At 47.5% G+C, this 25,050-nt stretch overlaps 1 protein-coding gene across 10 annotated transcripts in view, besides 3 other annotated features; it reads left to right on the forward strand.

Moving 5' to 3' along the window:
• The window catches only part of TTLL9 (tubulin tyrosine ligase like 9), a 74,367-nt gene that overhangs the window by 36,846 nt on the left and 12,471 nt on the right, over positions 1–25,050 (forward strand). For 4 of the 10 annotated variants that reach the window (NR_148014.3, NR_148012.3, NR_148011.3 and 1 more), the window contains 6 exons: positions 1,112–1,223; positions 2,258–2,443; positions 12,385–12,453; positions 15,484–15,574; positions 17,530–17,570; positions 18,394–18,481. Coding sequence is in view for 2 of the 10 variants with exons in the window: in NM_001008409.5 (NP_001008409.1) it covers positions 1,112–1,223; positions 2,258–2,443; positions 12,385–12,453; positions 15,484–15,574; positions 17,530–17,570; positions 18,570–18,612 (542 nt within the window). In the remaining 8 variants the exon portion in view is untranslated. Of the gene's footprint in view, positions 1–1,111; positions 1,224–2,257; positions 2,444–12,384; positions 12,454–15,483; positions 15,575–17,529; positions 17,571–18,393; positions 18,482–18,569; positions 18,613–25,050 lie in introns of all 10 variants that reach the window. The other 6 variants (NR_148013.3, NM_001008409.5, NR_148010.3 and 3 more) reach the window with 4 other exon arrangements.
• Positions 2,127–2,421: an enhancer, noted in NCBI's record as "tiled region #918; HepG2 Activating non-DNase unmatched - State 20:ReprD, and K562 Activating non-DNase unmatched - State 22:ReprW". NCBI's record gives its function as "activates a minimal TATA promoter and a strong SV40 promoter by Sharpr-MPRA in HepG2 and K562 cells {active_cell/tissue: HepG2 | K562}" and the evidence as "EXISTENCE:reporter gene assay evidence [ECO:0000049][PMID:27701403]".
• Positions 10,951–11,000: an enhancer, noted in NCBI's record as "active region_17703". NCBI's record gives its function as "activates an Ori minimal core promoter by ATAC-STARR-seq in GM12878 lymphoblastoid cells {active_cell/tissue: GM12878}" and the evidence as "EXISTENCE:reporter gene assay evidence [ECO:0000049][PMID:35858748]".
• Positions 16,173–16,292: an enhancer, noted in NCBI's record as "active region_17704". NCBI's record gives its function as "activates an Ori minimal core promoter by ATAC-STARR-seq in GM12878 lymphoblastoid cells {active_cell/tissue: GM12878}" and the evidence as "EXISTENCE:reporter gene assay evidence [ECO:0000049][PMID:35858748]".

Raw genomic sequence — 25,050 nt, forward strand, 5'->3', positions numbered from 1 at the left:
GGGAGGCCGAGGTAGGTGGATCACCTGAGGTCAGGAGTTCGAGGCCAGCCTGGCCAACATGGTGAAACCCCATCTCTACTAAAAATAAAAAATTAGCCAGTTGCGGTGGTGGGCACCTGTAATCCCAGCTACTCGGGAGGCTGAGGAAGGAAAATCGCTTGAACCCGGGAGGAGGAGGTTGCAGTGAACTGAGATCTCGCCATTGCACTCCAGCCTGGGTAACAAAGTGATACACCGTCTCGAAAAAAGAAAAAAAAAAAACCACTGCATAGAAATGATAACACACCAAACTCAGGCTGATGGTTTCCTTCGCGGCAGAACAGAAGGAGATACAATCAGGCAGGGATAGACAGGGGGCTTCAGTTGTATCTGTACTTTTTTACTTAAAAATAATTGTGAACAATCATGATAGTGTTTTATTTCCTGTGGCATCTTTTTCAAACACCTCCTCCCCGCACCCCAGCTCTGGCACCCAGATTTGGTAGATTGGCCCGGTTTCCTCTCCCTGGCATGGTGGTGGAGAATGGGATCAGAATTTGGAGCCGGCAGAGCTGGGTGTGGGTCCTGCTGCTGCCATGTCCTCAGTGAGCAAGGCCATCTTGCCTTAGAGTTCTGGGGATGATCCAAGATCACCTTTGGGGGCTGCTCTGAGGATTTAGTGAGTGGAGAGTTTTGTGAACTGGGAGGGGCTTGCAAAGGTTATCTCATTCCACTGCGGGCTGCACGCGTGGCAACTGGCAAGAACAAGTGAGGCTGAGTGGCTGTCACACCACAGAGAGTCATGGGGACTGTGGTTTGAGGAGGGCGTGCCCTGTCTGAAGGGGTGGCTGCTCCTCAGCCCAGCTAATAGGTGCCAGGAGGCACTCTGGGCTCAGTGATAGCTCAAGGGAAGCCAACCACCTGGATTTTTGTGGGAACATTTCCCTGGCTTTTGCTCTGGTCTAACAAAGCACATGTAGGCCAGTGGCACCCATGGCCACCTCCAAGAGACTCTAGAGGGACACAGTGCTGTGTACCCTTCCTCAAGCCCCCTCGGCAGCACCTCCCTGGGCCCTGCAGTGCCAAGGTCCTCAGACCATGACCTTTATCCCCGCCCCCACCCCACCCCCAGCGAAGGGGAGTGGGATTTCTACTGGTGTGACGTCAGCTGGCTCCGGGAGAACTTCGACCACACCTACATGGATGAACATGTGCGGATCAGTCACTTCCGGAACCACTATGAGGTGAGCTGGGCAGGCGGGAGGGACTGTGCCAACCAACTCATGTCACTGGGTGTGGCCATGAGCTGGAGCTGGTACAAGGATCAGAAAAGTGTATTAGAATGTGGGATGCAACGCCGAGTGGGAAGTCTGCGGGCTAGACCTATGGAGAGCCAAATGGTTTCAGGGTATAGGGATCCAAGGCCTGAGGACTGGAGGTCACAGGCTGGTTGGAGTTTCAGCACCAAGATTTGAGGAGCAAGATGGTTTGAGGGTGCAGGGTCTGAAGGGAGAGGATGCATGAATGATTATGGTGATTTCAGGGTGGAGGCAAGTTGAGAAGTTTGGGGTCTAAAGATGGGAAGGAGGTCTAGAAGGGACAGGACTGGAGGAGGCAGTGGTGGGAGATTTTTAAAGGTTAGTGTAGCTTAGCGGTTGAAAGCATGATTTTTTTTTTTTTTTTTTTTTTTTTTTGAGACAGAGTCTTGCTCTTGTCCCTCAGGCTGGAGTGCAATGGCATGATCTCGGCTCATTGCAACCTCTGCCTCCTGGGTTCAAGTGATTCTTCTGCCTCAGCCTCCCAAGTAGCTGAGTAGCTGAGATTACAGGTGCTCACCACCATGCCCGGCTAATTTTTGTATTTTTGTTAGAGATGGGGTTTCATCATGTTAGCCAGGATGGTCTCGAACTCCTGACCTTGTGATCCGCCCACCTTGGCCTCCCAAAGTGCTAGGATTACAGGCGTGAGCCACTGCGCCCGGCCAAAAGCATGAATTTTGGAGTCAAGACAGGCCCTGGTCAAATCCTGGGGCAGTGCAGCACCTTCGTTGGATAGCTCTGAGCAATTGACTTAATCTTTCTAAGCCCCAGTTTCCTCATCTGTGAAGTGGGGATAATTCTTGACTAGCAAGCTCTTTCTGGGTCAAAGTTACTCTTACTGTTGCTATTTTGTGGGCCAGAGCATGGAGGCTGCAGGGTGGCTGGTGGATGTGTGGGGCTGGGAGGGGAGCGGGGCTGTGAGCAGGAGCTAATGGCCGCCTGTCCTTCCCGCCACCCAGCTGACCCGGAAGAACTACATGGTGAAGAACCTGAAGCGGTTCCGGAAGCAGCTGGAGCGTGAGGCAGGAAAGCTGGAGGCAGCCAAGTGTGACTTCTTCCCCAAAACCTTTGAGATGCCTTGCGAGTACCACCTGTTTGTAGAGGAGTTTCGCAAAAACCCAGGAATCACCTGGATCATGAAGCCTGTGAGTGCCCAGTGCCAGGGGCTGGGTGGGAGGGAATGAGTCCCAGGTGCCATAGCAGGGATCAGGTGCAGACACTGCCTGGGAATTCAGCCTTAGATGCTGTCTGCCTTCCCGAAGGGCCAGCTTTAGCTCCTCTTCTCTGCAGTGTGTGGACCCAGCAGCTATGACTGCCAGCATACAGTAGGTGCTCAATGAGTGTTTATTGAATGCACAAGTGATGTTTAGGACGCCAGGGCAGGGAATTTGGAACCTGTCTTCCTGACATGCCAAGTGCTTTACCTGCGTTACCCCAGTCCTCATAGTGACCCTCGGGGGAGGGATCAACAGCCCCATTTTAGCAATGAAGAACTTGAGGCTTGCTTATTCAAGCATTTCACAAATACTTACTGAGCATGTACCATGTGCCAGGCACAGACCTAGGTGCTGAAGACACAGCCCTCAGCAAGTCAGCCTGGGTCTGTGCCCTTTTTGCAGGCAGACAATAAGCAAACAAAGGAGACCTATGCAGTTGCAGTTGTGCTGTTATTAAGGAGAATGGTGTCAGGAGAGGGATCCACAGGAGGCTCTTCCTGGCTGGGCAGGCTTCTCTGAAGAAGTGAGAGACTGGATTCTGAGGCCTACCCCCTTGTTCAAATACTACTGATACACTTACTAGCTGTGTGGCCTCAGGCAGCTTACGCACCTTCTCTGTGCTCCAGTTTTCCCATCTGCAAAGTGGGATTGTTATAATACCTATCACCTAGTGTTAGGGGACTAAATGAGTTAACACAGGTAAAGCACATAGTAAGTACTCAATAAATGAGAATTGTTATAATAATCAGAATTAGTATTGAGCTGCAACCTGAAGGATGCATACAAGTCTGCCTGGAAAAAAGTAGAGATAGGGAAGAGCATCCTAGGCTGAGGGAACTGCATATGCAAAGGCTTGGTATCAGGAGGCAGCCTATTGGGGCTCAAAAATCTGAGTGGGGCCGAGCATGGTGGCTCATGCTTATAATCCTAGCACTTTGAGAGTCCAAGGCAGGTGGATCACCTGAGGTCAGGAGTTCGAGACCAGCCTGGCCTACATGGTGAAACCCCCATCTTTACTAAAAATACAAAAATTAGCCGGGCATGATGGTGGGTGCCTGTAATCCCAGCTCCTTGGGAGGCGGAGGCAGGAGAATTGCTTGAATCTGGGAGGTGGAGGTTGCAGTAAGCCGAGATCGCCCCACTGCACTCCAGCCTGGGTGAGAGAGTGAGACTCCGTCTCAAAAAAAAAAGAAAAAAGAAAAAGAAACTGAAGAAAGGTGAGGACAACAGCGCACCTACCAATCACTCAGCCCTTTCTGGTGCCACAACTGTCACTCACCACAAAGCCACATGCCACCGTAGCCTTGAATGGCATCATCAAAGCCCTCTTATGTTTTCCAGGCCTGAGAATGTTCCAGGCCAGGGAGGGAGCAGGAGGGTGGAGGGAGCAGCCCTTTCCTGTGGAGCTGAAGACTGGTGTCTGGTGTTGGCTGATGCAGATTTAGCCAATAACACAGGTGCTTGGAGGGGAAACTGACATGGGGCTGACAAAAACAATGGATGCTCCCAACAGGCACGAAGCCAAGGTGTACCCAGGCCTCCCAGGTTCTTCCCCTGGCCCATCCTGCATCTCTGGTGTCCAGGGAAGGCGCAGTGAGGAAGGCCGTGGCTGGAGCAGTAGGGATTAGGCTGATGAGCACGGAGTGCTGTGACCCACCAGGGCGGATTCCAGCTCCCAGCATTATCCTCTCAGACAAATGGTAATTTGTGCTAATTGGGAACAGCACTTGCATATTAAATTGATTCCATTCCCAGCCCACAGCCTTTGTTAGCAGCAGACACAACGGCAGCTACAGCTGTAATTTAGAGGAGGCATCTTGGCTCGGTGTGTCTGTGCGTGTGTGTGTGTGTGTGTGTGTGTGTGTGTGTGTGTGTGTGTGTCCTCTTTCCCAAATTGCGAGGCACCCTGTCTCGGGTGGAGAGTGGGCGCTTCTGTGCTTCTAGTCATTTCTGGCATGGGTTCTAATTCTGTGTCCACTGCTTACAAGCTGTATGTCCCTGAGCAGGTCACTCGACCCCCTTAAGTCCCTCTGGGCTCATTTCTTCATCTGTAAAATGGAATTAATGAGTGTGTCTACCTTACAGGGTTGTGAGAGAATACAGTGAAGTTACACACGTTCGACACATGAATTTACAAATTATATCAAGGGCTTGGCATTAGGTGCCTGATAATTGACCATTTTCATTGTTATTTCCGAGTCCAGGAAACACCGTCTCTTTGCTCTGTCCCTGGGAAAGCACTAGGTCAGTGTTTCTCAAACGCTACAGTGCCCGTGCAGCATCCAGGGACCTAGTGCAATGCAGAGCCTGATTCACAGGTCTGGGTGGGGCCTGGGAACCTGCATTTCTACCAGCTCCCAGGACATGCCAGTGCTGCTGGTCTGTGCATACACTTTGAGTATCGAGATTGTGGAGCAGCGGTTCTCAAACTTGAGGGTGCAGCAGAATCTCCTGAAGAGCTTGTTCAAGCATCCCACCCACCCCAGAGTATGATTCAGTCAGCCTGGTGGGGGCCTGAGAATTTGCATTTCTAGCAAGTTCCCAGGTATAGCAGTCAGGGTTCTCCAGAGAAAGGAAAGCATTAGTGTGTGTGTGTGCGTGTATGTGTATGTGTGTGTGTGTGTGTGTGTGTGTGTGTGTGTGTGTGTGTATGTCTGTGTGTTTAAGGAATTGGCTCATACAATATTGTGGGGGTTGGCAAGTCTGAAATCTGCAGGGCAGGCCAGCAGGATGGAGCTTCAGGCAGGATTTCTATGTTACAGTTTTGAGGCAGAATTGCTTCTTTTTCAGGAAAACTCAGTTTTTACTCTTAAGCCCTCAACTGATTAAATGAAGCCCCTCCCCATGCTATCAAGGGTGATAACTTAAAATTAATGATTGCAGGCCAGGTGAGTGGCTCATGCCTGTAATCTCAGCACTTCGGGAGGCCAAGGTGGGAGGATCGCTTGATCCCAGGAGCTTGAGACCAGCCTGGGCAACATAGCAAGACTTAGTCTCTACAAAAAATACAAAAATATTAGCTGAGTGTGGTGGCGAGTGCCTGTAGTGCCAGCTACTTTGGGGGCTGAGGTGGGAGGACCACTTGGGCCTAGGAGGTTGAGGCTGCAGTGAGCCGAGATCATTCCACTGTACTCCAGCCTGGTGACAGAGTGAGACCCTATCTAAAAAAAAATTAATAATTGTAGATGTTAATCACATCTACAAAGTACCTTCAGAGAAACATCTAGCATTTGACCAAGCAACTGGGCACCATAGCCTAATCAAGTTGACACGTAAAATTAACCATCACACCAGGTTCTGAGGGTGCTACTGGTCTGAGTACCACAGTTTCTGAGAACCACTGGGTTTGAGTATTAGTTCCGGGACCTTATTTGGATTCCTTTCAGGAGGAGAGAGTGTTAAAAACAGAACATTGCCCTAAATTTGGAGAATAGAGGGAGAAGAGTCCCCTGAATCCCTCCACTCTTCCCACAAGGCCTGTCTTTGTGACATGGTTGATCTTTGCCCACCCACAGGCAAAAGTTTTCGCATAGTTGGTGTGGCCCAGCCAGTCACAGGGCAGCCCTCGGGCATCTCCTCTGCATTGTTTTCCTGGTGTCTGCCGAGCCTTCATCTTCCTCATCAGTGGCAGCAGAGCAGCCCAGGACTCAGAAGGGAGCAGGCAGCATCATTCCGTCTACACCACCCTGTGGGGACCCTCTTCCTACCAGGCCAGAGCCCCAGCCCATCTTGGAGCTTTTAGGGGAATATAAGAACAGGCTCTTGGGTCTGGCATTTAAAAGTCCAGTGTAAACATTGCATCGCTCTTAGCTTTCTTCCCATGGAAGCATTCTCCCCTGCCAGCAGTTCAGGCCGTCAGGGTTGGTGGGGAGGTGGGCAGGACACTGACACAGGTCATGGGACAACTGTGGCTCCAGCCCGCCTCGTGGTGCGGGGAGGCGACTGCTTGGCTGTCACGGATGGGGCCTGTCAGTCTCTCTGTGTGCCCCCCAAGCTGCTCAGGGACAGGGCCTATCTATCTGCTCACCCTGCGTCCACCAAGCTGGTCTAACACTTCACACACGGCAGCGAGCGTTCTTGGCAACCAGGGGGCTGTTCTCAGCCTTGGGGGCCTATTTCCAAACTGCAAGGCAGGAAGAGCCACATTTTAACATTCCATCACACTAGTTTACCCCAACCAGAACTTCTCAGAATTTTTCACTGAGACTTTCTAAGAGTCGGGATGCTTTACTCAGTAAATAATAGAAAATCCAAATAACAGTAGCTTAAACAAGAGGGCAAGACTTCTGTACTGTTTTTATGCCATGGGCCTCTTTGACATCTGGTGAAATGTGTGGACCCTATCACAGAATAGTGGTGTTTTTTTAACCACTTCATTGAAACATAATTGGCGTACAACAAGCTGTGCGTATTTAATGTGGACAGCTTAATGAGTTTGGAGATAAGTATGTACCCATGAAAGAATTGTGGTTTTAAAAACATAAAATACAGTACATTCCATTATAAAAGAAGGCAACTATACTGAAAACCCGTTATCAAACTGTGTTAATCTGGGTTCCCCAAGAAACGGATGCCAAGACAAAATTAAACAGTTTGGCTGGTGAGAAAAAATGGGGAGGGAGCTAGCAGGTGAGGCTGGGAGAGAATCAGGCCTCCAAGGAAGCGAAGAAAGAAGAGAGGGAGGGAGGGAGGAAGGTTGGAAGTTTCTATTGCTGAGCAGCCTTTGAAAGTTCATCAAGGCCCCTGGGAGGCCTCAGCCAAAGTTGGCTGTCAGGAGTCCCCTGTCTCTCAGGAATGGCCGGTCTTCATATCCCCTGGGGCTTAGTCACTGACTGGGAGCAGCCCTAGCAAGACGCCCTGGCAAACACTGCTAGACCTCAACTGGAAGCCGCTGGCACTCTCAGTCAGTTACTCTGTTGGAGGCCTGCAAGGTGCATTGTCATGGCCACCACACAAGCGATTACAAAATTATTTGTGCTATAGAAATATGTGCGCTTTTCATTAACAATTAAAGAGGATCTAACAGCAGGCCTCACAGCTACCACAATTTCAAAGTCAGGAGGAGCATAAACAATATTTTGAGATATCTGCAACAATTGTAATGTGATGTCGAAATCACTGTGATCTCTTTAGATGGCAAAGTCACGGGCATGGCTAACACTCCTATGATTTGTTGCATTCCTAATAGAAAGGAATGTGAAAATCGGCCGGGCGCGGTGGCTCACGCCTGTAATCCCAGCACTTTGGGAGGCTGAGGCGGGCGGATCACGAGGTCAGGAGATCGAGACCATCCTGGCTGACATGGTGAAACCCTGTCTGTACTAAAAATAACAAAAAATTGGCAGAGCGTGGTGGCAGGCACCTGTAGTCTCAGCTACTTGGGAGGCTGAGGCAGGAGAATGGCATGAATCCAGGAGGCTGAGCTTGCAGTAAGCCGAGATCCTGCCACTGTACTCCAGCCTGGGTGACAGAGCAAGACCCTGTCTCAAAGAAAAAAGCATAATATAAAAATATATCCCTCCCAAACCATCAAGTAATAGAGCTGCCCCCAGAACTAGCAGTGTTTATCCTGTGATTTTGTGTATCCCCGGCACTTTTCAAGAGGTATATGAGCCCCAGGTTTGTGTAGCACAGATTTAACTATCTCAGATTTGTCACCTGTTGGCTGGGTGACCTTGGGCAATGTGTTTGGCCTGTCTGTTCGCTGGTTCTCTTGGCTGCAAAATGGGGATAACATTAATGTTTATGTCAAAGGGTGTGTGTTTTTTTTCAAGCTTTAATGAGGTAACGTGTATAAATCACGGTGTCTGGCACAGAGTAAACACCTGGTAAGTATTGGCTGCTGGTATTGCCATTGTTATGAACCATTCTACTAAAGCTCGTATTCCGGTTATCTATTTCAGAGTAGCAAACCACTCCCAAACATAGTGACTTGAAACAACAATAATGCCTTATTTAGTTCATGTGAGCCCCCAGCTTGGACAGTGCTTGACAAGGAAGGCTGCTCCAGCATCCACTGAGGGCTGGAGGATCCCCTTCCTAGCTGGCTCACTGGCTGGGCTAGCAAGTAGGTGCCAGCTGTTGGCTGGGAATTCAGCCAGAGTTGAGGGCTGGAAGACTCAGTTGCCTTCCAGGTGGGCCTCTCCCTGTGACCTGGGCTTCCTCACGGGATGGCTGCTGGGTTCTGAGGGCAACCATCCTGAAAGAGAGAGCCAGGCAGAAGCTATATTGCCTTTTATGACCTGGCATTGGAATTCACACATCACTTCTGCCATAGGCAATTAGTAGAGACACTTCCAGATTCAAGGGAGGGGACATTGATTTACCTTTTGACAGGGTTCTGGAGAACATATGGGACAGGAAATATTGTCGTGGTTGTTTTTGGAAACTGCCATCTGCTGGAACTAGGTATTAGGTGATTTCCATCTCATCAGCCCCGATGTAACACCATGCAGGCGGTTCATCTTTCATTCTTTAGGGTTAGTCCCTTAGGAAGGCACCTCCTGGAACAGTCATGTCAAGTTACTAACAATGGCCTGAACAATAAAGGCATTTTGTTATCTCACAGAACAAGAAGGCTGAGGGTAGGCATATCCAGGTTTGGGGATGTGCTAGATGATGCCACTAGAGGCCCAGGCTCCTTCTCTCCATCGACTCTGCATCCTGTGTGCTGGCTTTTTGTCATCAGACTTGTCACCTCATGGATGTGACATGGCTGCTGCAGTCACAGGCATCATCTCCGCAGACTGTAGCATTCAAAGAAAGAAGGAAGGAGCCCGGGATATTTCTTCCCGATCCCCTTTCTCCCCAGCTCCTTCCCTAATATTTTTAACAAGGAGAAACATCTTTCCTGGAATCTCTGAGCAAATGTCTCCTTAGGTCTGATTGGCCAAAACTGGTCATGTGGTTTCCACCAACTGCAAGGGAAGCTGGGAAAACCTACATCTGGTCTTTCTAGCCTCCCTCATGAGAGGTGGGCTTTGCTAGCAAGGAAGAAGAGGAAGGAAAGTGGCCATAGGGAAGGCAGCCAACAGGGTTGGGGATAGGGGTTCCTAGACCAAAGCATATGAACCTGAAAAGATACCGTTTAATTGAAGTTTAATAAAATATAGAAAAGTAGCCAAATTATAGGGGCACAGTATGAATTTTCACAAAGTGAATCCACTCAAATAATCAGCACCCAGGTCATAAACAGAGCGTTCCCTACCCTCAGCAGCCCTCTCAGGCCCCTTTCCACTCACTCACAACCCCCCAAGGCACTAAACATCGTAGGTTTGCTTTGTCTGCTTTTGGACTTTATATAATTGGAATCTTATAGGATGACTACCTTGTGTCTGGTGTCTCTCCCTTGACATGTTTTGCAGTTCATTCTGCTGATGTGGGTAATTGTACATTATTAACTGTCATCGTTGTATACTATTCCATTGATTAAATATTCATCCATTGGGGAGTCTCAGGGTGGAGCTATTATGATAGTGCTGCTGTGGGTGTCTGGGGCCATGTCCATGGTGACATGTGCAGACATTTCTGTCATGTAGGTCCCTAAGAGAGGAATTGCTGGGACATAGGATAGAGGATGCCTATGTTCAGCTTTAGCAGATGCTGCCAGTTTCCAAACAACGTACTCTCACACCAGCAGTGTGTGCAAGTTCCAGTTTCTCCACATCCTCACCAATACTTGGTATTGTCTGTCTTTAATTTAACTATTCTCAGGTAGTATATAGTAGTATCATATTGTGATTTTCATTAGTGTAAGAATTAAAGAAAGAGGAGAGAAACACGAAAGGTGGCTCGCCCGTCAAGACAGGTTTATTTTAGAGAAAACAAACCTGAGAGGAACCTTCTGGCTGAGTTAGGTCAGAGCCACACTCTCTTACAGACTAAGAGTTTTTAAGGATTCAGGGCGGGAGAGTTTATTAGAGGCTTGGACTGCTTCTGTGTCTCTTTATTGTGCTTATCTGGGAGGGAGAGTTGTGTGTCTGTTCCCATACATCTTTCTGCAGCTGCAGGCATATCCCCCGGGTTGCTTTTAGCTTTCCTATCTTAGTGCACCTGAAGGGAAAGGAATGTGCTTATTAAGATCTACTGTTTTACTGGGGCCCATTGTATGAGGGCGAAGTTTGGCAGTTACCCAAGAGACTTTCCCCCCACCTCCCTCTGTGCCCGAGCTGTCTTATCTGTGTTTTACTGTCTGCTCTTTCTGTCTGCTTGTAGTTAGAAGAGAAGTGATTTCCTTGAAATGCATGAGGCCAGAAAGGGAACTGGAACTTAAAGTGGCAGTGTTTGTCCGAGATGACGAGATGACGGTGCTCTTGTTCTGTCAATTAGCACTTCTCTGTTGGTGAACCCTCTGATGAAGTTGAGTGCCCGTTCTTTTCTTTCTTTCTTTTTTTTTTAACAGACAGAGTCTCACACTGTTGCCCAGGCTGTGCAGTGGTGCAATCCCTGCCCACTGCAGCCCTGATCTCCTGGGCTAAAGTCATCCTTCCACCTCTGCCTCCCAGATAGCTGGTACTACAGGGGTGCACTCTCATACCCAGCTAATTTTTAAAGCTATTTTTAGTAGCGATGTGATCTCAAGGTCTTTCTACGTTGCCTAGACTTGTCTCGAACTCCTGAGCTTAAATAATCCTCCTACTTCGGCCTTCCAGAGTGCTGGGATTACAGATGTGAGTCACTGTGCCCAAGCTATTGTATGTTTACACTGGTAATCTTCTTTCGTAAAATGCCTGTTCAAGTCTTTTGCAAGGCCGTGAACTGTTGGAAGCTCCTGATGCACACTTATTAGTTGCTTTCTAAAATTGCTGTGCACATTTGGCTGCCCCTGAGCCACCACCAGTGCTCCATAGAGTTTTTGGCACCCAGTCTTCTGGGCCCACACAACCCTGAACCATGGTGCACAGCATGGCAGGCAGAGCAGGGGCTCTTTGTGCAGTAGACAACCTGTACAACCACACCTGGCAGCCCTGCATGCCCCTATCTTGTACAGAGAGCCTCGGGTGGGCCAGGTGGGCCATGCTCAGAGGAGAACAGAAGGAAATGAGAGTTGCAGTTATGCTGGAGGTAAGATGACTTGGGAGATCTGCTCAGTGGCTGCAAATACCTAAAGGACTCTTCTGGCACCCAGGAATCAGCTTTGTTCTAGGAGGTCCTAAAAGCCAAAGCCAGACTGGCCAGTCTTAGCTCAACACAGGTTAGGCTGTGAACGTTCCATTGCATAATGCTCAACATACAGTATGCACTTCATATATACCTTTTGGATGACTACTTAACAAAGCTATCCTGTAACAAAATGGGCTGTTTGGCATTGGTGGGGGAGGTAGTGAGCTGCTAGGCACTGTGAGTGTGCAAGGCCAGGCAGGAGGACTGTTGTCCTTCTACAATGGTAGAAGGGGAGTAATGCCTTTGTTGAGGACCACTCCATATGAGATCAAAGATTCTCTCAGCCCCTAGACTGTGTGAAGCTATGAATTATCCATGCTGGGGTTCAGTAAAGGCAGGCTGATTTCAGTATTAGCCGGAGCAAACCCTAATTAGGAAGGCAAATTGATTTCCAAAAAAAGATTTGGATGATATGTTCCCAGGACTGTTAGAAATGGCTTTTTAATTGTCTGTTCTTTTGCATTATTCATGCAAATGTATGTCTTTGTGAGCTAAGTCAGTCTCCCCCTTCCCCTCCCTTCCCTCTCTCCCTCTGCCAGGGTTAGCACCTTCTCTGTTCCAGCCCCTTCAGCTAGCCTTCCTCTGGGGAGAGTTGGGGGTTCATAAGGAAAAAGAGACAGATATGCTGGGGAGAGCCCCCAGCCACGGGGGCCAACAAGGAACCACGCAGAGCTAAGAGCTGGCTTTCTGCCCCCATCCCACCCCAGGTAGCCCGGTCTCAAGGGAAAGGCATCTTCCTCTTCCGTAGGCTGAAGGACATCGTGGACTGGAGGAAGGTGAGCCTGCCTCTTCCCCCTTCCTCCCTGAACCCTCCTCTGACCTTGCCAGCAGGAGGGGCCACTCCTTCCTGCAATCAAAGCTCAGAGGGCTGGCAGAGAAACTCTGCCCACAGGTCTGCCCATTGGAGCAGGGTCTCCAGAGCCAGATTGTCCAGGTTCAAATCCTGATCTTGCCACTCAGTCACTCAATAGCTGTGTGCCCTTGAGCAAGTTACTTCACCTGTCAGTGCCCCAGTAAATGGGGATGGTAATTATACCTGCTAAGGATGCAGTGAGCTAATAAGCAAACACGCGCACACACACACACACACACACATTCTCACACACACCCACACACCCAGCACAGTGCCTGGCACTCAGCGCTCGATGCACGTTCTTTATCTGGGCCTCCTGCTCACGTGGCTGGGGAGAGTTTGGCTGACTCTTCCTCAGGGCCTAGACTGAGCCTCGGGGGCAGCTACCTCCCAACCCCAATCCATTCTTGTCCCAAGACACAGTACAGTAGAAATCCTGGTTCAAATCCTGCCTCTCCCACTCAGCAGCTGTGTGGTCTTGGGAAAATGACCGAAGCCCTCTGAACCTGAGCGGTGACGATGGTGCAGGGTGGGTGGGAGGAGCAGGATGGCTGAAATCCTATAGGACCAGCCCCTGCTGTACCAGGAGGCGCACAGCAGTGCTCAATGTCTTGACTCCTCCCATGAAACTGTCAGGGCACTACAGGAAAGAGCTCAGCAGCCTGGAGGCCCAGCCTGCCTGGAGCACGGTCAGTCCCTCTGGCAGCCACGTGAGTGGAGGTAGGGCTGGGCCCAGGTCCCAGGAAGGGAAGACCTGGCTGCTTCTGTCTTGACACAGCTGAGTGGGGAACAATGGTGGGTGAAGCAGGTCTACCCTGAGAGCTAGTGCTGCCTGCCATTATTGGGGCTGTTGTGTCACCCCATCAAGTGTGTGACCCTTGTCTTTGAGTGAAGGGGACAATAGGTGGGAGAGGTGTTTGCAACCTGCGAGGTGCTGTGCAGATGCATGAGAGCATTGCTGTCTTCCAGAGCTGGGCTGGCAGGTAGAGAAGAAGGAGCAATGTCCTCGGGGGCCCATGGGTGGTGTAGGCAGCACTGTCCAACAGAACTTTCTAGAGGGATGAAAATGGATATCTGTGCTCTCCAATGCGGTGACCACTAGCCACATGCAGGATGTTGAGCACTTGCCACATGGCTGGTGTGACTGAGGACTGGATTTATAATTTCATATCCTTCTTAAAAATTGTGGGCCGGCAACAGACACATGAAAAAATGCTCATCATCAGTGGCCATCAGAGAAATGCAAATCAAAACCACAATGAGATACCATCTCACACCAGTTAGAATGGCGATCATTAAAAAGTCAGGAAACAACAGGTGCTGGAGAGGATGTGGAGAAATAGGAACACTTTTACACTGTTGGTGGGACTGTAAACTAGTTCAACCAGTGTGGAAGACAGTGTGGTGATTCCTCAGGGATCTAGAACTAGAAATACCATTTGACCCAGCCATCCCATTACTGGGTATATACCCAAAGGATTATAAATCATACTGCTATAAAGACACATGCACACGTATGTTTATTGTGGCACTATTCACAATAGCAAAGACTTGGAACCAAGACAAATGTCCAACAATAATAGACTGGATTAAGAAAATGTGGCACATATACACCATGAAATACTATGCTGCCATAAAAAAGGATGAGTTCATGTCTTTTGTAGGGACATGGATGAAGCTGGAAACCGTCATTCTCAGCAAACTATTGCAAGGACAGAAAACCAAATACCGCATGTTCTCACTCATAGGTGGGAATTGAACAATGAGAACACTTGGACACAGGAAGGGGAACATCACACACCGGGGCTTATTTTGGGGTGGAAGGAGGGGGGAGGGATAGCATTAGGAGATACACCTAATGTAAATGACGAGTTAATGGGTGCAGCACACCAACATGGCACATGTATACATATGTAACAAAACTGCACGTTGTGCACATGTACCCTAGAACTTAAAGTATAATAAAAAAAAATTGTGGGTCGGGCGTGGTGGCTCACACCTGTAATCCCAGCACTTTGGGAGGCTGAGGTGGGCAGATCATTTGAGGTCAGGAGTTCGAGACCAGCCTGGCCAACATGGTGAAACCCCATCTCTACTAAAAATACAAAAATTAACCATGGTGGCTGTCACCTGTAATCCCAGCTACTTAGGAGGCTGAGGCACAAGAGTTGCTTGAACCCGAGAGGTGGAGGTTGCAGTGAGCCAAGATGATGCCACTGCACTCCAGCCTGGACAACAGAGCAAGACTCATTCTCAAAAAAAAAAAAAAATTGTGGTAAAATCTGTAACATGAAATTTACCATTGTAACTTCTTTTAAGTGTGTGGCTTTATCACACTAAGTGCATTCACATTGTTGTGCAACCACCACCACCACCATCCGTCTCCAGAACGTTTCATCTTCCCAAACTGAAACTCTGTAACTGTTAAACACAAGCTCCCCGTTCCCTCCTCTCCCCAGCCCCTGGCAACCCCCATCTACCTTCTATCTCTATGAACTTGACTACTCCAGGGACTCATCTAAGTGGAATCAGACAATATTTGTCCTTTTGTATCTGGCTTATTTCACTTAGCCTTATGTCTTCGAATTTCATCCATGTTGTAGCATGTAATTTCATTTACTTTTCATCAAGGTAAATGTAAATGGCGTCTTGCGGCCAGTGACTGCCCTACTGGGCAGCACCAGTCTAGAGTTTAAACACTCAGGCTCTGGGCCTAGACCATGTAGGTTCACATCCCAGCAACACCACTAACTGGCTGTGTGACCTTGGACAAGTTACTCTCCCTCTCTGTGCTTCAGTTTCTAATCTGTGAAATGGAAATAACATTAGTACTTACCTGACAGGGTTGATTTAAAGATTCAGTGAGCTACCCAAAGTAGTGTCTAACAGAATACCTAGTACACAGGAAATGTTCCATAAATAAATGTTCAATTATTATTATTATTACAACTAGGACACAAGAAGCTCTGACGACCAGAAAGATGATATTCCCGTGGAGAACTATGTGGCTCAGCGTTACATTGAAAATCCTTACCTGATAGGAGGTGAGATGGCTGTGTCTGCTCCTGCTCTTCCATTGCATGGTCATCAAACAGTCAGTCAACAAGCTTTGACCAGCAGCCTGCCAAGGGCCCAGCCTGACACCAGGCATGAAGGGATGCATGGAAAGAGATGGGTTCTGCAGTCTCCCACCTCCTAGCCATTGCCTGTACAGTTCCCTCTGCCCGGCATGTCCATTCCACTCCCTTCTTGGTTCAGAAAAATTCTCCTCCTTTAAAAACCAACTTATTCATGCGTTTATCCAACAAATATTATAAAGCACCTACTTGGTGGCAGCACTGCCCTGAATACTGGCTGCCCCTCACCCTGCTCTCCTGGAGCTTACACCTGTGATGAGCAGGCTGCAATAAACCAGAATACAAACCACAGGACGGTCCCATGCAGTGCTGGGTGCTATGAAGTCAGTCAAGCAGGGCAATGGGACAGAGAGTGACATGGGGGCCAGGAGGTGGACATGTGAGCTGAGACCTGAGTGACAACTGGGAGTCACTGTGGGTAGATTTGGAGGGAGAGAAATGCAGGGAGGAGGAATCACAAGGGCAAAAGGCCCTGAGGTGGAACCCAGCCTCCTCCCCGCAAGCTTGGTGGGTTTCCCCAGGCGGGCCAACATCTGCTTTTCTCACTCGGGCTCTGGGAACTGCAGGCACATCAGGCATGCCTGACATCATTGCAATAGCGTTAATGCCAGTTGTCTCCTCCCACGTCCTCTGGCAATTACCTTCCCCAGGGGGCAGCCCCTGGGCCTCTTCTCCTCTCTCCCCCACAGTGACCCCATCCTGTCTGTGGCTTAAACACCACCCAAAGGCCAGTGACTCCCAGCTTTCTGTCCCCAGCCGAGACCTTGCCCCTGAACCCCAGATCCTTATGTCCAGCAGCCTGTGACATCCGTCTTGGGCATCTGCCAACCACTCAAACCCAACACATCCCAAATTCTGCCCTCCCATCCCCCCACCATGCCTCAGCTTCTCTAGGGGACACAGCTAGAAGCCAGGAGCCATTCTGGGTGTGTCCCCCTTCCCCTTCCACATCTGGTTCTCACCAAGCTCCCACAAGCTCTGGAATCTGGCCATTCCTCTCACCTCCACCCCGGGCCTGGCCACCATCCTCTTCCTCCTAGACAACCACGCCCGCCCCCTCACTGGTGCCTGCCGCTGCTCTGCCCACTTCACTCCACCCCAACGTGGCAGCCAGAGAGGAGACACCCTTCCATGGCTTCCCATGGATTGTGAGACAAAACCCCAAAACTGCATGGGACCTGACCTCTGCCAGCCTAACTGACCTCATCTCCTTCCACTCTGCCCTTGGCCCAAGCTCTTTCCCCCTCCAGACTGTTCTCGCAGTTCCTTCTGCCCAAGATCCTGCACCACTCTGGGCTGGGCAGGCACCTTGTCTCCATGAAGGTCACCACTCCCCATGGGGGTCTTTGACCACTGAGTTTCAAGACTTTCCCCCAAGTTGACCCCCACGCACCCCTCCCCCACCTCCCATTATTCTCTCTTTATACCTTGTGCGTTTTTTTTGTTGTGTTTTTTTGAGACCATGTCTTGCTCTGTCACTCAGGCTGGAGTGCAGGGTCACGATCATAGCTCATGCAGCCTCCATCTCCTGGGCTCAAGCGATCCTCCTGCCTCAATCTCCAGAGTAGCTGAGACTACAGATGTGCACCACCATGCGAGGCTAATTTTTTTGTAGACACAGAGTCTCACTATGTTGCTCAGGCTGGTCTTGGATTCCTGGCCTCAAGCGATCCTCCTGCCTCAGCCTCCCAAAGTGTTGGGATCACAGGCATGAGGCACCGCGCCTAGCCCCTTGTGTAGTTTCAGCAGGAGCTTCATGAAGGCGGGGTTTCCTGTCTGTCCACTGCTATTTTCCCAAAACCTAGCACAATGTCTGACGATCAATATTTGTTGCACAAATTAATTTTTTCCTTGCCTGACAGGCCGCAAGTTTGACCTGCGTGTCTATGTGCTGGTGATGTCGGTGAGTAACAAAGGTGGGGGCCCTCCTCCAGCAGGGGTTAAAGGGTGGCTGGGCTAGGGAGATGGGGGGAAGAGGCCTGGGGGTACCTTGTGTGAGCTTGTCTGGTTTTATCTCTCCCTGGGAGATCCCCGAGGGACATCTAGGGATAGGGTGGGGGCAGGGAGACTTATCTGAGGTTTACCATCTTAGATGCCCCAAAGTCTAGATTTGCCCTCTCTCTGCCCTTCTTTATTCATTCGGTCATCCACAGCAGACATTTATTGAGCACCTACTAAGTACCAGGCCCTGGCACTTAGCAGGTTTTATCTCATTCAGGCCTCCTAATAACCCAGGGAGGCAGGTTCTATTATTATTCTCCCTTTACAATGAGGGAACAGATACAGAGGTTGTGTACCTTGCCCAAGGTCACACAGTTGGTGAGCAGCAGAGCTGGCATTCAAATCCAGGCAGCCTGGCCTCAGAGCCTACTCTTTTAACCAGGGAGTGGCTATATTCCCTCCACCCATTCATGCATTCCTTCATCCAGCCAATGTTCAAATCTTTTTGCTGGGCACAGGATACAGGGGTGTCCAAGACAGACTCCACCCCTGTTCTCCTGGACTTCACCTTCATTTTATTTCCTTCTGTATCCCCCTCCACCTGGGGAAAGGAGGGGATAGAATCAAAGAAGCCTGGTGTAAAAGCAGGTGCCTGAAGGATGATTTGGGAAAGACATAAGGGCACTCCGGGTGGAGGAAACGGTAGGTGCAAGAGCTAGGCGGTGTGAGAGTGCCTGTATATATTCCCTTTCCCTTCTCTCTCTCTCTTCCCACCTCTGCCTTAGTACATCCCGCTGCGGGCCTGGCTCTACCGGGATGGCTTTGCCCGATTCTCCAACACCCGCTTCACACTGAACAGCATTGATGACCAGTGTATCCTGGGATCCTGGCTAACCACCCCCGACACACCTACCCCTTCCCACACTCTGGCCAGTCCCAAGTGAACTCCTTTGTCCCACAGGTGTTTGCTGAATGCCTGCTGTGGTCTGGGCACAGGAGACAGGGTATGAGATAGGTCTGGTCCCTTCCCTCCGGGAGCTTCCAGTTTTGTGGGGGTGATTCCATGGGAGAGGCCAACTCTGCTCAGAGCAGCTCACTGCAAGCTGCTCTGCCTGATGATAGTTTTGGTGCTATGCCTAACATTCACATTTACTTATATTCCTAGGGTCGGACAGTTTTAGCCCCTTTGGAGAACATTTGCATCCTTTTATGTGCCTCTTTCTTCAGTGCCTAGTCATTGGCTCACTCATTCATTCAAGTACAATGCTATTTTCACCCATCCGATTGGCAGAGACCAAAAATTTGATAACACAGTGTCCTGGCGAGGCTGGGAGAATACATACGTTGCTGGCGGGATTGTAAATTGATTGGTATGACTCCTTTGAAGACAATCTAGCAAAGATCTGTTAAAAGACAAATGCACACATGCCCTGTGACCCAGCAATTCCTCTTCTGGGATTTTATCATCTTACAAGTACATCTGCGGTATAAGACAAGACAGGCTTCAAGGTCATTCACTGCACAGCCTTGTTTGTGAGAGAAAAAAATAGGGAACATTGAAATGAATGGCTCCTTTATACAGTGGAATACTATGAAGCTGTTAAAAAGGAATGGGGAAAGTGCTTTATGTACTGATATGAAACAATTTCCAAGATATATTGTTAATTGGGAAAAAACAAAGCATGTCTAGAACAGTGTTTGAAAGTATGTTCTCGTTCATGTTAAAAATTATATCTGGTCAGATGTGGTGGCTCACACCTGTAATTCCAGCACTTTGGAGGCTGAGGCAGAAGGATCACTTGAGGCCAGGAGTTCAAGACCAGCCTGGGCAACATAGTGAGATCCTGTCTCTATGAAAAAAATAAAAATAAAAATAAATTAGCCAGATGTGGTGTCACATGCCTGTACTCCCAGCTACCCACTCAAGTGAGGTGGGAGGATCACTTGAGCCCAGGAGTTCCAGGCTGCAGTGAGCTGTGATTTTGCCCCTGTATGCCAGTCCAGGTGACAGAGCAAGACTGTATGTCAAAAAAAAAAAAAATCTCTCTCTCTCTGTCTATATATATATGTTTGCTTATCTGTACATAGACAACTCTGGAAGAACAGACAAGAAGCTGGGTGCAGCGGCTCACACCTGTAATCCCAGCACTTTGGGAGGCCAAGGCAGGTGGATCACCTGAGGCCAAGAGTTGGAGACCAGCCTGACCAACATGGTGAAATCCCATTTCCACTAAAAGTACAAAATTAGTTGGGCATTGTGGCATCTGCCTGTAATCCTAGCTACTAGGGAGGCTGAGGCATGAGAATCCCTTGAACCTGGGAGGCGGAGTTTGCAGTGAACCGAGATCACGCCATTGCACTCCAGCCTGGGTGACAAAATAAGACTCTGTCTCAAAAAAAAAAAAAAAAAAAAAAAAGAAACTGGAAATAGATGTTGCCTTTGGGAAGAGAAATGTTAGTGGATACAGAGGTAGAAAGGAGATGTTTCCTTACACACATTTTGTGCATTTTAACTTTTGAGCCATGTGAATGTATTATCTGGTCAAAATAGACACATCAAAAGAAGTTTTAAAGATCTTTAGGCCTGAGCCTCAGAAGAAAAGAGGTAGACAATCCAGCAATATTTTGGAGGCAAATGGGCGGGACCAGATGACTTGCACATGGGAAAGATGGAAATGGGGGTGACGCTCCCCAGCTTCGGGTGTGGACAACCCAGCCAATGCTTTTAGCCCATTTGCATCTCTCTGCATTAATTTCCCCATTCAGTTGAGTGCGTGTCCAAGGTGATGCATGTGCATTGCCTGCATGTGAAACTGCGATTAGACCTTTCTGAGTATTTTTTGCAATTTGTTTTTTTCTATTTTGCCAACGTCAGCACTTCCAGTACGTTCATTTTATTTTGTAATTCTAACAAGCATTTATCATATGCAAGTCATCGAGTTTAGTTTAATTGCCACCTACTTTTTTTTTTTTTTAACTAAAGTTAAATAATACATGTAAAGCAGTTAGAACAGTGGCTGGCCCAGAGTGACCTCTCAGTAAATGTTAGTGGTCCTCCTCTCCCACTTAAAAATGTTTGCACAGCTCTGGGCATCATGGGGACTTTTTAAACAAATCAAGCCCTCTCCCGGGGCTAGTTTCTAGTTAATGAGGCTTTGCTGTTTTCACAGTGAGTAAATACACATTTTCCACCCCTTCTTTTATATTGTTTTAAATGTTTAATCTTGAAATATTAATAGAAAATAATTTTCTATAAATAGAAAACTGCAGGAAGGACTATAACAACCCATGCATTTACCATCCAGATTTAACAGATTAATATTTTACCACATTCGCATCAGATATTACATACTAACTTTTAAAATAATTTTGGATCACAAAATAATAAACATTTTTAACCTGACTTCATTATATATAATATATATAGTTTATACATAATTATTCAAATATATATTTGCATATAGTATATCTATACATACACTAAATACAAAAATATTCATTGAAACACTGTATATAATAGTATACAGTCATCACCCTTGATCCCTTAAATCTCCCTTGAGGGATGGTGAAATGAATGATAAAGCATCTATGTGATCTTGTGCATCTGTTGAAAGCAATGAGATAGGTCAAAATATCATGACATAGAAAGATATCTAAAACAGATGATTAAGTGAAAAACAAAATGTAAGATGGAGAACCTGGTATATTCATGTTCCCATTTTTGCCTTTAAGGAAGAATGTTTATGTTTAAGAAAAAGTATGAAAGGATGTTCGTGATTCACCAGTCTATCTTAGTGATTGATTGATTGACAGTTTCCTTCTCTGTTGCCCCCGATCGAGTACAGTGGTGGGATCACAGCTCTTTGCAGCCTTGAACTCCTGGGCTCAAGTGATCCTCCCACCTCAGCCTCCTGTGCAGCTGAGACCACAGGCACATGCCACTGTGCCTGGCTAACTTGTTTTTTGTAGCAATGAGTTCTCGCTATGTTGCCCAGGCTGGTCTCAAACTCCTAGGCTCAAGAGTGTGACCTTGATTCAACAGTTTGAATCCTCCCACCTTGATCTTCCAAGGTGCTGGGATTACAGGCGTGAGCCACCGTGCCCAGCCTCACTAATCTATTAACTCTGAAAACTGCAGAGAATTAGAACCAGGTCAGGAAACATTTATTTTAAACTTTATACATGTCTATTATGAATTGTTTCTACAATGGATAGGCCTTACTCTAATAATAAAATAATAAAACATTGAAAGGATATAGTTTTATAATAAAAGTGGTATAGCTCATGAAAATCAAATCAGAATATTCAGAACAGTGCAAAAAGAAAGAGAAACCTTCTCTAGGCATATTTTCTAGCAGAAACTTCTTACTATTTTGGTGTATTTCCTTCCAGGCTCATTTGTAGGGAATTTTGTTGTCATTCACCTTTTATATATAAATGATCCCATTGTATAAATACAACATTTTCTTGCACTAAACATTATCAGCAGTATTTTCCTTGTAGACTTTTTTTTTTTCATTAATGAAAATATTCCACTGAGTAGGTTTCCTGGTTTTCTAATCCCCCATGCTGCAGGCATTTGGGAAGTATTCAATTTCTTGCTATAGTGACACATAATGCTGCAAAGGAACATATTTCTTCATAAACCTTTTACAGTATTAAGATTTTTCCTTTGGATGGTGTCACAAAGATGTAAATACTGAGTCAAGCCCATCTGGCCAGATTGCTTCCCAGAAGAGTCCTTTTATCTTTTTACCCTCACTGGGTGTGGTGGCTCACGCCTGTAATCCTAGCACTTTGGGAGCTGAGGCGGTCAGATCACTTGAGGTCAGGAGCTTGAGACCAGCCTGACCAATATGGTGAAACCTGATCTCTACTAAAAATACAAAAATTAGCCAGGCATGGTGGCAGGCGCCTGTAATCCCAGCTACTCGGGAGGCTGAGGTAGGAGAATCACTTGAACCCGGGAGGTGGAGGTTGCAGTGAGCCAAGATTGTGCCACTGCACTCCAGCCTGAGCAACAGAGCAAGACTCTATCTTAAAAATAAATAAATAAAAATAAAATATTTTTACCCTCCTATTGACTGGTCCATTTCATCCCAACTCCCCAGTCCTGGGGACAATTGTTTTAAACAGCCATTTCTGAAACGACTGGGCATGTCTAGGTGAAGCAGATAGGGGCATTCATTATATGATTCTTGCAAATATTCTGTGAGTTTTGAAGTTTTCAAAATGAAAAGATTTTTTAAATGCAACTGACTTGATGAGGGAGCAGAATTTTGCCTTAGAATTAGCATTTCTTCCAATTTTCATTTTCCCCCATTTGCGTGCCTTTGAAATTATATATCTTCTATTACTAGGAACTTTGAGCTTTTTCCCAGATGGGGTCCTACCAGCTTTATTTTCTCTTTTATGTCTGTCCATATCCTTTACTTAGTAAATAAACAGTCATACATTTTATTGTTAATTCATGTGGGATTTTCATGTGACAGAAACAGACTATTGCATTTGCTACACATCTTTTCTGTGGTCACTGATTCTTTAATTTTTGCATTGACATCTGTTCATTTTTATTTTCACATGCTTGTCCATTGGTTTACTTGTCCATTGGTTTCCTCTGTGATTTTTACCATCATTTCTAAACTAAGAAAAGTCTTTTTCTCCTAAATATTTTGCAGTGAATCAGTTCTGTTTCTCTGTGGATTTATTTTGATTGTATGTTTACTCTGCTACTTGACCATTGGTCCACTGAGACCTGGTTTTAGGTTCCTCTCTAGAGACGGGAGGCTCTGAGGTTGGCTGACCCATCTCTCACCCCTTTCTTTCAGCCTCTGCTTCTCCTCTGCTCCTAAGGAGGCCCGCTGTCTCCTCCACAGCAGGCGGGAGCAGTGTGTGAAGTGTGAAGTTCTGGGAGTCGTACTTCCTTCATCTGAAGAGAGCTATTTCCCCTCTTCAGCCAGTAACTTACTTTGCCCCAGCATCCTCTTTTCCTTTTTTTTTTTTTTTTTTCAAGACAGAGTCTTGCTCTGTTGCCCAGGCTGGAGTGCAGTGGCACAATCACGGTTCACTACAGCCTCCATCTCCTGGGCTGAAGCGATCCTCCTACCTCAGCCTCCCTTGTAGCTGGGACCACAGGCACGCACCACCATGCCCAGCTAATTTTTAAATTTTTTATAGAGACTGGTCTCACTATGTTGCCCAGGCTGGTCTCAAACTCCTGGGCTCAAGCGATCCTCCTGCCTTGCCCTTCCAAAGTGCTGGGATTACAGCCTCGACTTCCCGGGCTCAAATGATCCTCCCACCTCAGCCCCTCAAGTAGCTGGGACTATAGATGCTCGCTTCCACGCCTGGCTAATTTTTGTATTTCGTGTACATACAGGGTTTCACCCTGTTGCCCAGGCAGGTCTTGAACTCCTGGACTCAAGTGACCTGCCTGCCTTGACCTCCCAAAGTGCTAGGATTACAGGCGCGGCCACCATGCCTGGCCAATACTTGCTATTATCTGTCTTTTTCATTATAGCCATCCTAGTGGATGTGCAGTGGTTTTGATTGGCATTTCCCTGATGACTAATTATACTGAGCACCTTTTATGTGCTTGTGGCCACTTATAAATCTCTTCAAATCCTTTGCCCATTCTTAAATTGGATTAACTTTTTATTGTTGAGTTATAAGAATCCTGTATGTATTCTGGATACTAGTCCCTTATTAGATACATTATTTACAAATATTTTTTCTCATTCTGTGGGTTTTCTTTCACTTTTTGATAATTTCCGTTGAAGCACAGAAGTTTTTAATTCTGATAAAGTTGAATTTATCTACTTTTTCTTTTGCCATCTGTGCTTTTGGTGTCATATCTAAGAAGATCTGCCTACTCAAGGTCACAGTGACTTATTCCTCTATTTTTCTCTATGAATTTCATAGTTTTGCCTCTTATATTTAGGTCTGTGGTCCATTCAAAATTAATTTTTGGGCTGGGTGCAGTGGCTTATGCCTGTAATCCCAGCACTTTGGCAGGCCAAGGCAGGTGGATTGCTTGAGGTCAGAAGTTTGAGACCAGCCTGGGCAACATGTTGAAACCCTGTCTCTGCAAAAAATAAATTTGGGCCAGGCATGGTGGCTTATGCCTGTAATCCCAGTACTTTGGGAGGCTGAGGCAGGTGGATCGCCTGAGGTCAGGAGTTCCAGACCAGCCTGGCCAACATGGTGAGACCCTGTTTCTACTAAAAATACAAAAACTAGCCGGGCATGATGGTGCTTGCCTGTAGTCCCACCTACTTGGGAGGCTTAGGCAGGAGAATCGTTTGAACCCAGGAGGCGGAGGTTGCAGTGAGATGAGATGGCACCACTGCACTCCAGCCTGGGTGACAGAGCAAGACCCTGTCTCAAAAAAAAAAAAAAGGTCTAAAGAAGACGTCTAGGAAAAAGATGCTAAAGAGTAAAGA

The sequence above is a fragment of the Homo sapiens genome, chromosome 20, assembly GCF_000001405.40.
Source record: "Homo sapiens chromosome 20, GRCh38.p14 Primary Assembly".
Lineage (NCBI taxonomy): Eukaryota > Metazoa > Chordata > Mammalia > Primates > Hominidae > Homo > Homo sapiens.